Source organism: Homo sapiens, chromosome 4 (genome assembly GCF_000001405.40).
Source record: "Homo sapiens chromosome 4, GRCh38.p14 Primary Assembly".
Classification (NCBI taxonomy): domain Eukaryota; kingdom Metazoa; phylum Chordata; class Mammalia; order Primates; family Hominidae; genus Homo; species Homo sapiens.
Window position 1 is genome coordinate 102940959 of NC_000004.12, and position 12918 is coordinate 102953876.

A 12918-nucleotide genomic window follows, 5' to 3' on the forward strand; every position below is an offset into this window, starting at 1 on the left:
TTTACAAAAATCACCTCAAGATAGATTAAAGACTTAAATGTAAAACCCAAAACTATAAAAACCCTGGAAGATATCCTAAGAAATACCATTCTGGACACAGGCCATTCTGGACATATCCTAGGAAATTTCAATTCTGGAAAACACTTTATGATGAAGACGCCAAAAACAATTGCAACAAAAACAAAAATTGACAAATGGGATCTAATTAAACTAAAGGGCTTCTGCACAGCAAAGGAAATCATCAACAAACCACCTATGGAATGGGAGAAAATATTTGCAAACCATGCATTCGACAAAAGTCTAATATCCAGAATCCAAAAAGAACTTAGAAAAATCAACAAGCAAAAACCTAACAACCCCATTAAATGGGCAAAGGAGAGGACCAGACACTTCTCAAAAGAAGACAAACACGTAGTCAACAAGTATATGGAAAAATATTCAACATCACTAACATTAGAGAAATGCAAAACAAAACTGCAGTGAGATACAACCTCACAGGAGGCAGAATGGCTATTATCAAAAAGTCAAAAAGTAACAGATGCTGGCGAGCTTGGGGAGCTACTCCCAGGTCTTTGGAAGGCTGAGGCATGAGAATTGCTTGAACCTGGGAGGCAGAGGTTGCAGTGAGCTGAGATTGGGCCATTGTACTCTAGCCTGGGCAACAGAGCAAGACTCCGTCTCAAAAAAAAAAAAAAAAAAAAAACCCGAGAGAGAGAGAGAAAGAAAAACCCACAGCCAGCATTATACTGAATGGGGAAAAGTTGAAAGCATTCCCCCGAGAACTGGAACAAGACAAGGATGCCCAGTTTCACCACTTCTATTCAACATAGTACTGGAAGTCCTAGCCAGAGCAATCAGACAAGAGAAAGAAATAAAGGGCATCCAAATCAGTAAAGAGGAAGTCAAACTGTTGCTATTCATGATTATATGATCATATAATGAGAAAACCCTAAAGACTCATCCAAAAAGCTCCTAGATCTGATAAATGAATTCAGTAACGTTTCAGGATACAAAATCAATGTACACAAATCAGTAGCACTGGTATACACCGATGGTGACTGAGCTGAGAATTAAGTCAAGATCTCAACCCCTTTTACAACAGCTGCAAAAACAAACAAACAAACAACAAACAAACAAACAAAACCAAAGAAAAAACCCCAAGCAAACGAACTTAGGAATATACCTAACCAAGGAGGTGAAAGACTTCTACAGTGAAAACTACAAAACACTGCAGAAAGAAATCATAGATGACACAAACAAATAGAAACACATCACACGCTCATGGATAGGTAGAATCAATATTGTGAAAATGACCATACTGCCAAAAACAATCTACATCATCATTCTTCCCTGAACTAGAAAAAGCAATCCTAAAATTAATGTGGAGCCCAAAAATAGCCCGCATAACCAAAGCAAGACTAAGCAAAAAGAACAAATGTGGATGCATCACATTACTTGACTTCAAACTATACTATAAGGCTATAGTCACCAAAGCAGCATAACACTGGTATAAAAATAGGCACATAGACCAATGGAACAGAATAGAGAACTGAGAAATAAAGCCAAATACTTAAGCCAACTGATCTTTAACAAAGGAAACAAAAACATAAAGTTGGGAAAGGACACCCTATTCAACAAATGGTGCTGGGATAATTGGCAAGCCATATGTAGAAGAATGAAACTGGATCCTCATCTCTCACCTTATACAAAAATCAACTCAAGATGGATCAAAGACTTAAATCTAACACCTGAAACTATAAAAATTCTAGAAGGTAACATTGGAAATACCCTTCTAGACATTTGCTTAGGCAAAGACTTCATGACCAAGAACCCAAGAGCAAAGGCAACAAAAACAAAGATAAATAGATGGGACTTAATTAAACTAAGAAGCTTCTACACAGCAAAAGAAATAATCAGCAGAGTAAAAAGACAACCTATAGAGTGGGAGAAAATGTTTACAAACTATGCATCCAACAAAGTACTAATATCCAGAATCTATAAGGAACTCTAACAAATCAGCAAGAAAAAACCAAATTATCCTATCAAAAAGTGTGCTAAGGACATGAATAGACACTTCCCAAAAGAAGATATATAAATGGCCAAGAAACATGAAAAAATCCTCAATATCACTAATTATTAGGGAAATGCAAACAAAACCACAATGCAATACCATCTCACTCCTCCAAGAATAGCCATAATCAAAAAAATAAAAAAAAAAAATAGATGTTGCCATGGGTGTAGTAAAAAGGAACACTTTCACACTGCTGGGGGGAATGTAAACTAGTACAACCACTATGGAAAAGAGTATGAAGATTTCTTAAATAATTAAAAGTAGATCTACCATTTGATCTAGCAATCCCAATACTGGGTATCTACCCAGAGGAAAAGAAGTCATTATATGAAAAAAACACTTGCACACGCATGTTTATTGCAGCACAATTTGCAATTGCAAAAAATACGGAACTAGCTCAAATGCCCATCAATCAATGAATGCATACAGAAAATGTGGTGTATATATACGTATCTATGTGTATATATGTGTATGTATACACACACACACACACACACACACACACACACCATCGACAGAATACTACTCAGCCATAAAAAGGAATGAAATAATGGCATTCACAGCAACCTGGAAGGAGTCGGAGACCATTATTCTAAGTGAAGTAATTCAGGAATGAAAAAACCAAACATTGTATGTTCTGACTTATAAGTGGGAGTTATGCTATGAGGATGCAAAAGCGTAAGAATGATACAATGGGCTTTGGGGACTTAGGGGGAAGAGTAGGAGGAGGGTGAGCGATAAAAGACTACACCTTGGGTGCAGTGTACACTGCTCTGGTGATGGGTGCACCAAAATCTCAGAAATTACCACTAAAAATATTTTCCATGTAAACAAACACCACCTGTTCCTTAAAAACTAATGAAAAAAGAAAAAAGACATGAGATCAACCTAAATGCCCATCAATGGTGAACTGGATAAAGAAAATGTGGCACATAGGAGGGGGTATATCTCAGGGTTAGAGCATCAGACTGCGGACCAAGAAAATGTGGCACATATACACCATAGAATAATACACAGCCACAAGAAAGAACGAGATCATGTCCTTTGGAGCAACGTGGATGGAGTTGAGGCCATTATCCTAAGTGAATTAACACAGGAACAGGAAACCAAATATCCCATATTCTTACTTATAAGTGGGAGCTAAACACTGAGTACACATGGACAGAAAGAAGGGAACAATCGTCACTAGGTGAATTTGAGGGTGGAGGGTGGAAGGAGGGGGAGAATAGAAAAACTACCTATTGGGTATTATACTTATTACCTGGGTGACAAAATAATCTGCATACCAAACCCCTGTGACATGCAATTTATCCATATAACAAGCCTGCTCATGTACCCCTTGAGCCGAAATAAAAATTGGAGAAGAAAAAAACTCGTAAGAGTTGTCACTTTGGGTAGAGTTATGGGCATTATGATTTGAAGGCATATTCTAAGGTCATTCCTCCTTTATTTATAAAGTTCTAATTTTTAAAATAAAAGTGCATTTGAGTATTTTATCATAAACATTAATTTAAGAATTCACTGGATTTTGTAGTAACTATGTAATGGATGAACTTTGCTATGAGTGTCATTGGAATGGATAAGCAGAGACAAAAGTTGATGAATTAAGAAATGAAAAGGAGTTAGGATCTAGAGACAGTAGTTACAGACTTATTTTGAGGAATTCAAACATAAGACAAATGGATGGTAGATAAAGATGGATGGGGCATTGGATATACGGCAAGAGTTTTTGTTTGCTTGCTTTCTTTAAAATGGGAGAGTTTATATTTATACACCTATGTCTATATAAAATGTTTCTCAAATATACTTATATATATACACATACATATATATGAAATGTGCAACTGTACTTACATACAGCTATGAGGAAGAGGCCATTAGATAGATTAAAACATACAGATATGTTATAATACAGATGAAAAGGAATAAATTGATCATGTGAATTTTCTTGATGATAAACATTTAGGGGCTATGAATGTTTGTTAAAAAAATTTCGTACAATTTGGGACATGGCTCTGCTTTTAATCAACTGCTTTCCAAGGATTTTAACACTGAAACGAATTTTAATAGAGCTTTTCTATACAACATTCTGAATATTTTAACAGTTTTAATGAAGCATCCTTAATTGAATATTTTCATAAGAAAAAATGAGAAAGAAATTACCCTAATAGAAATGCCCATTGCCAGGGAAATTTCATAATGAAGTGTGAAAAAACAGCAGCTGCACTTGCCTCCATAAGGCATGGACCTACAGCCAATCTGAAACAAACGACCTTCAAATGCCTCAAAGCCTGAAACACAAAACAGTCACACTTAGATACATTTACAATGGCCAACAAGAAAATTATTTTAACAAATGTCAAACTATAAAGTCTTTTTTCATAAGAAGCTTTCACTAAACGAAATCTCATTTCAACAGATTGTCCCACTGGACTTTGAACTCTATTACATTTTATATGTCATCATAGGTTGGATTATAAACAATTTCATCTTTTTAAAAATATTATTATATTTTAATTATTAAAAGATCAATTTTACTGTGATTAAATAGCTAATGCTACCTTCCTGAACTTTCCTAATAAATAGTATAATAATAGTGTCCTATTAGTGTTTTCCCATTAACTTTTTGATATGAACTGTTTGATTAACTTAATAAGTATAAATAGAATACCAACATGCCAAAGAAAATAACTTAAAAACTGCATAATTCATTTTAAAAGGGAGAACTTTTCAATGTTCTCCTTGGTTCATACTTTCTGCTGGAGAATATAATCTTATTGGCTATAATTATTTATGCTCTTGAGCTATTTCTATTAAACCACATTTGCCACATTTATTTGAGTGGCTGTCATATTCATGAATAGTCATCTTCTTATAGATGGGATTTATGATCCCTAGAATGTAATATTTTAAGAAATGCTTTAAAAGATTGGATTTTACAATAATGCAAAGATAATCAGGAACATAATCCTGTGGAGAAAATGTCATAAAAAAATTACTGAAATCCTTAATCTCCCTAAAAAAAGAAAAAGACTTTTATAAGGTTTTTCTTATCCTATGTTAACTGAAAAGTACATACTTCTCCATAGAAGAGCCTCCCAAATAATATAGGTGCTATATAAGAGACATTTATCTCTGTGCAAATGATTAGATCGCTAATAAAGACCTTACAACACAGTCAATTCTCTTCATATCAGTGATAATGATGGCTAGACATAGAAATTAGGGTGCCAATATTTCTATACAGTCTTTTTTTCTTCTGTTTTTTTCTTCTGTTTGTTTGTTTTGTTTTGTTTTTTGAGACGGAGTCTCGCTCTGTCCCCCAGGCTGGAGTGCAGTGGCACTATCTCAGCTCACTGCAACCTCCGTCTCTCAGGTTCAAGCAATTCTCTTGCCTCAGCCTCCCGAGTAGCTGGGATTACTAGGTAAATGCCACCAGCCCGGCTAATTTTTGTAGATTACAGGCATGAGCCGCCATGCCCGGCCTTTTTTTCTTTATCTTAGGTTTGTTTACAGACTCTATTTGGAACAGGAAAATAAAATTTTTGCTTCTTTTTCTTTCTCACCGTCCTCTAATATTTGAAATAACCTTACTCGATTTGTAATTGTAAATCTACCTGTGGATCGAGTCCAAGCCCAGCTCTTATTAGAATAATGGTAAGGGCAATGCTTCTTAAAATTGAAGACCATGTGTTAGGAACATGGACATGTTCATTGATGAATGGAACATTCCTAATCGTAAAACCAGCCAGTAACATCCCTTAAAAGAAAGAAAATAAAGATACATGACAGTTCATTTTTCTGAGAAAGAAAACGGAAATGTTTACTTTCTTTTCTAATGCACTATGTCTCTCATTATTTTGGTAAAGGGCAGGTTACAAGCAAGTAGAGAAGGCAGCATGAATAAAGGAATGGCGATAAGAAACAATACACCTAAATGGGGTTCAACAAGTAAGTTAGTGTTGCTGGAACATACAGGGCAAGGAAAGGAGGGAGGAGAATGAGCTTGGGTGGGCCAGATCATAGAAAGGTCTCCCCCCACTTTGGCAAAGTAAGGCACCATGGGAAGGTTTTAGGCAGGAAGTAACATAATGAGTCTTGCGTTTTTTATGTGAGGGTCTTGGTGAATTAGTTTGGGATAAAACTGGAGACAGAGACCAAATTGAAGGCTCTGCCACAGTCCACGCAAAAGTTGGAAACAAATAGCCTAAGCTAGAGCAAAAGAGAAAGTTTGGAGAGGAGGAAAATGATTCAATAAATACTTAGAAGGTGCTGTAAGAAAATTGTGGATACAGAAGGGACAGCAGAGATAAGATGTAGAGATTATCTCTACTGACAGTGTACTGAATATATATTTATTTTTGAGGACAGGGTCTCATTCTGTTGTCCAAGGTGAGTGCAGTGATGCAAACATGGCTCACTGTAGGCTTAACCTCCTGAGCTCAAGTGATCCTCTTGCCTTAGCCTCCTGAGTAGCTGAGACCCAGAAAAATTTTTAATATTTTGTAAAGACAAGGTCTGCTATATTGCCCAGGCTGGTTTTGAACTCCTGGGCTCAGGTGGTCCTCCTGCCTTGGCCTCCCAAAGTGCTGGGATTATGGGCATGAGCCACCGTGCCTGGCCCACTGTACTGAATATTTAGATATATTTGAATACAGTAAGTTCTCACTTAACATCATCAATAGGTTATTGGAAATGGCAACTTTGAGTAAAATGGTATATAACAAAACCAATTTTAGCATAGGCTAAATGATATAAACAACAGTCAATTTCCTACAGCATATTTCCGGTCACAAAACATCACCAAACTTCTAAATAAAGATCCAAAACACTTCTAGTATTAAACAATGAAATAAATGTGAGCTCTACATACACTTTAGAAAGTTTTATAAAAACAAATAAGATAATTATTTACTTAATTTTTGGTGAATCCATGAGTGATGGTGGTTATAGCGGTGATGGTTAAAATCAAAGAATAAATGTTTACAAAGTGAAAATTGTAAGGAGCACCTCCTCCCACTATGCAGTTCAAAAACAATCACAAATATGGTAGGCTGGCTGAGAGTTTTCATATCACATTGTCTATTGTCATGCATTTGTATGGTTACCATATACTTAACAAAATTTTATTTTACAATAATTTGTATTCATTCATTTATTCATCGTACAATCCACTTATTCTAGTTCAGGGTCAAAGGTGACTGAAACTTAATCCAAAAAAATCAAGGAGGGACTCCCTCCCTAACACATTCCATGAATCTAGTATCACAGTTATACCCGAATCAGGCAAAGCCATACACACACACACACACACACACACACACACACACACACACACTACTGGTCAATATCCCTGATGAACATAGATGCAAAAATTCTGAACTAGCAAAATGAATTCAATAGTACATCAAAAAGATAATATAGTTAAGTGGATTTTACTCCAGAAATACAAGGATGGTTCAACATGTGAATCATTCTTCCATAAATACATATACACACATATGTTCATTGTAGCACTATTCACAATAAAAGGACATGGAATCAACTTAAATGACTAAATAAAGAAAATGTGGTACATATACACCATGGAATGCTATGCATTCATAAAAAAGAATGACATCATGTCCTTTGCAGCAACATGGATAAAGCTGAACACCATTATCCTAAGTGAAACAACTCAGAAACAGAAAAATCAAATACCACATGTTCTCACTTATATGTGGGCACTAAACAATGGGTACATATGGACCTAAAGATGGAAATAATAGACACTGGGGAGTCCAAAAGGAGAGAGGGTTGGAGGGTTAAGGTTGAAAAATTACCTATTGGGTATAGTATTCACTATTTGGTGATGGGTTCACTAGAGCCCAAATGTCACCATTATGCAATATATCCATGTACCAAACCTGCATATGTACCCCGTGAATCTAAAATTTTTAAAGATTCTATTAAACAATAAAGCAACAGGAATAATGTACTAAGGATATTAAATTTATTTTAAAAATAAATTTTGGATAAAACTTGTGTGTATATATGTAGACAGAGAAATAAATGCATCTATAAAGGAGCTGTACACACACACACACATACAGTAAATACATACATGAAGAAACTATATAAAACATACTACATTGAAATATTTCTGAATTATAACTAATTCAACAAGAAAATGTTCAACATTTGCATATAGTCAATAATAAAGAAAAGAGAGCTAATTATATACTTACCAAGAAGAGGTGGAAGTGGAGGCACTAAAGGTATTCTAATGAGTTGTAAAATTTTTCCCCCAATAATGGCACTATAAAAAATAATGAACAACCCAAATAAATTTCCACCAGGGAGAGCTTCAGAGCCTAAGATTGACCAGGTCATACACCATATCACAAACAGTATAACTCCTGAAATACAAAAAAGTGTACAGCTATATATCTACATACACATAGATGTATACAAACAAAGGATCAATTCTCTTTTATCATATATACTAATAGCCAGTTTTATAAAATGATACATGGTATAGATCAACATTGCTTACTAGTTTGGTGAAAGAGATATCTGCTTAACATATATTCCAAATAACCTGTCAATTTATGAAGTAGGTTTCAAACAAAGTGTTTTTACTTTAAAAATATTTAAAACCTATATGTGGGCCAGGTGCAGTGGCTCACACCTTAATCCCAGCACTTTGGGAGGCTGAGGCAGGCTGGATCACATGAGGTTCAGGAGTTTGAGGCCAGCCTGGCCAACACAGTGAAATCCCGTCTCTACTAAAAATACAAAAATTAGCCAGGCGTGGTGGTGCGTGCCTGTAATCCCAGCTACATGGGAGGCTGGGTCAGGAGAATTGCTTGAACCCGGGAGGTGGAGGTTGCAGTGAGCCAAGATTGTGCCACTGCATTCCAGCCTGTGTGACAGAGTGAGACTCAGTCTCAATAAAAAAATAAAAAAATAAAAAAAACCTATATGTGAACTCTGGAAAATGCTAACCATTATAATATATGATAGTTAAAAACATCATGGCAATATGATGAGATTTACTTCATTTTATATTTTAAAATAGCTTTTTCATCAGGATGGAAAATAAGAGGATGACTGGCTGTGATAAGAATTCACAACCTTATTGAAGATCACAGTGTCAAGGTGCCAAATCTTTTAAGAGGAACCTACTAAATCTTTGTATTGAAAGGATAATTCAACTGATATTTGGCATAAATGTATTAGAGGAGGTAATGGCTGGAAGAAATGAACCTAGATTTTGTGGGAATAAATATAAAGTATCTTAGATTATGTGTAGGAAGTAGAGGTAGATAAGATGAGTAGGTATAAGTTACTAGACATCTTGTTTCTGGCAACTAGGTGCTACTCACTGAGGAATCCATAGGTTTCTATAAAGGACAGACAATAACATGGTAAATTTCCATATGCTAATTAAATTGCTACCTTTATTTGCTATGAATCATAATTGCTAATGCTTTTAATATTCTTAAAACAGTTTATATGCATTTTTTAGCTATGACCCCTTTCCGGCTGTATAGAATTTGCCAGGGTAAAAGAGGACGATTTTGACTCACTCCAGGCAGAAAGTTAGAACAAAGTATCTCTTTCCTCCTCCCCTCTGATTATTGTCATCCTGCAAAACTGGAAGCCTTGGAGGGCTAAACTCTTACTAAAAGAATGGACCAGGCTGGGCATGGTGGCTCATGCCTGTAATCCCAGCACTTTGGGAGGCTGAGGCAGGTGGATCACCTGAGCTCAGGAGTTCAAAATGAGCCTGACCAACATGGTGAAACGCTGTCTCTATTAAAAATACAAACAATTAGCCTGGCCTGTTGGCGCATGCCTATAATCCCAGCTACTTGGGAGGCTGAGGTAGGAGAATTGCTTAAACCCAGGAGGCAGACATTGCAGTGAGCTGGGATGGCGCCACTTCACTCCAGCCTAGGTAACAAGAGCAAAACTCCATCTCAAGAAAACAAAACAAAACAAAACAGAAAACAAAACAAAACAAAACACGGACAAGAAAATGTCATCCTACTGACAAATTGAGAAGACAAGGCAGTTTGTCTTAGCTGGTCTCTGGGTGGCAAAGTCTTTTTTGAGAATTCATAGGTAAAACTGGCCTCATCCAACTTATGTGTAGGGCTCAAATTACATTATGTGCACAGGTTAGGGATCCCAAAGTTCTAAACCTACCATAAAAGTGTCCCTGCATAGAAGTATCCCTAGAACACACTTAGTAGATGCTAATTCAAAAAATCTCTAATAGACAGTCCTGATCCCAGACTGCATAAAGTCTCAAAGGTAAAGCCAAGTGAATCTGAACTTAAAATAAGAAGAAATATCCCATGAGCAAAAGTTAACAGATACTACAAAGAATGGGATTAGATGTCTGAAAACCTTAGCTAATAGAACCACTAGATAGACACTATAAAATATGTATTTTCAAAGGGACTAGAGACAATTTTTAAAAATTGGAGACATGAGAAGAAGAAATTACTTGAAAGCATTGTAAAATAATTAAATAGAACATCTAGAAAAAACTGTAAAATTTACTCAACTAAAAAAAAAACCACTAAGTACCCAAACAGCAGTCTAGACATGGCTGAAGAGAGAACACAGCAAAGTAGTAGATATGAGGAAATTACTTAAGAGCATAGCACACACACACAAAAAAATGAGGTGGAAAATGAGAGATTTAGATTATGGAAAAGATCTAAAACACAACTAATAGTAGTTTCAGAAACATAATTGAAAGAATGAAGAAGATATAATATTTGAGAAGAAAACTGGCTTCAAACTTTACAGAATTGATTAGGGTTTTTATTGATTTGGACACAGGAAGTCAAATGAGTTCTAATCAGGATTAAGTAAAAATAGATACTTAGATAAAATGTTGAGAAACTATAGACTACCAAAGGCAAAAATAAAATCTTTTTTTTTTTTTTTTTTTTATTATACTCTAAGTTTTAGGGTACATGTGCACATTGTGCAGGTTAGTTACATATGTATACATGTGCCATGCTGGTGCGCTGCACCCACTAATGTGTCATCTAGCATTAGGTATATCTCCCAATGCTATCCCTCCCCCCTCCCCCGACCCCACCACAGTCCCCAGAGTGTGATATTCCCCTTCCTGTGTCCATGTGATCTCATTGTTCAATTCCCACCTATGAGTGAGAATATGCGGTGTTTGGTTTTTTGTTCTTGCGATAGTTTACTGAGAATGATGGTTTCCAATTTCATCCATGTCCCTACAAAGGATATGAACTCATCATTTTTTATGGCTGCATAGTATTCCATGGTGTATATGTGCCACATTTTCTTAATCCAGTCTATCATTGTTGGACATTTGGGTTGGTTCCAAGTCTTTGCTATTGTGAATAGTGCCGCAATAAACATACGTGTGCATGTGTCTTTATAGCAGCATGATTTATACTCATTTGGGTATATACCCAGTAATGGGATGGCTGGGTCAAATGGTATTTCTAGTTCTAGATCCCTGAGGAATCGCCACACTGACTTCCACAATGGTTGAACTAGTTTACAGTCCCACCAACAGTGTAAAAGTGTTCCTATTTCTCCGCATCCTCTCCAGCACCTGTTGTTTCCTGACTTTTTAATGATCGCCATTCTAACTGGTGTGAGATGATATCTCATAGTGGTTTTGATTTGCATTTCTCTGATGGCCAGTGATGATGAGCATTTCTTCATGTGTTTTTTTGGCTGCATAAATGTCTTCTTTTGAGAAGTGTCTGTTCATGTCCTTCGCCCACTTTTTGATGGGGTTGTTTGTTTTTTTCTTGTAAATTTGTTTGAGTTCATTGTAGATTCTGGATATTAGTCCTTTGTCAGATGAGTAGGTTGCGAAAATTTTCTCCCATGTTGTAGGTTGCCTGTTCACTCTGATGGTAGTTTCTTTTGCTGTGCAGAAGCTCTTTAGTTTAATTAGATCCCATTTGTCAATTTTGTCTTTTGTTGCCATTGCTTTTGGTGTTTTGGACATGAAGTCCTTGCCCACGCCTATGTCCTGAATGGTAATGCCTAGGTTTTCTTCTAGGGTTTTTATGGTTTTAGGTTTAACGTTTAAATCTTTAATCCATCTTGAATTGATTTTTGTATAAGGTGTAAGGAAGGGATCCAGTTTCAGCTTTCTACATATGGCTAGCCAGTTTTCCCAGCACCATTTATTAAATAGGGAATCCTTTCCCCATTGCTTGTTTTTCTCAGGTTTGTCAAAGATCAGATAGTTGTAGATATGCGGCATTATTTCTGAGGGCTCTGTTCTGTTCCATTGATCTATATCTCTGTTTTGGTACCAGTACCATGCTGTTTTGGTTACTGTAGCCTTGTAGTATAGTTTGAAGTCAGGTAGTGTGATGCCTCCAGCTTTATTCTTTTGGCTTAGGATTGACTTGGCAATGCGGGCTCTTTTTTGGTTCCATATGAACTTTAAAGTAGTTTTTTCCAATTCTGTGAAGAAAGTCATTGGTAGCTTGATGGGGATGGCATTGAATCTGTAAATTACCTTGGGCAGTATGGCCATTTTCACGATATTGATTCTTCCTACCCATGAGCATGGAATGTTCTTCCATTTGTTTGTGTCCTCTTTTATTTCCTTGAGCAGTGGTTTGTAGTTCTCCTTGAAGAGGTCCTTCACATCCCTTGTAAGTTGGATTCCTAGGTATTTTATTCTCTTTGAAGCAATTGTGAATGGGAGTTCACCCATGATTTGGCTCTCTGTTTGTCTGTTGTTGGTGTATAAGAATGCTTGTGATTTTTGTACATTGATTTCGTATCCTGAGACTTTGCTGAAGTTGCTTATCAGCTTAAGGAGATTTTGGGCTGAG

General features: G+C 36.2%; 1 protein-coding gene across 4 annotated transcripts in view; it reads right to left on the minus strand.

The window, feature by feature from the left end:
- SLC9B1 (solute carrier family 9 member B1) overlaps positions 1-12918 on the minus strand; it is a 134657-nt gene that overhangs the window by 55910 nt on the left and 65829 nt on the right. For 2 of the 4 annotated variants that reach the window (NM_001100874.3, NM_139173.4), the window contains exons 4-6: positions 8299-8469; positions 5689-5831; positions 4235-4362 (exon numbers count right to left, since the gene is read on the minus strand). The exons of 1 other annotated variant lie outside the window; for it this stretch is intronic. In NM_001100874.3, coding sequence (NP_001094344.2) covers positions 4235-4362; positions 5689-5831; positions 8299-8469 — 442 coding nt within the window. The remainder of the gene's footprint in view (positions 1-4234; positions 4363-5688; positions 5832-8298; positions 8470-12918) is intronic. One more of the 4 variants, NR_047513.2, reaches the window with a different exon arrangement.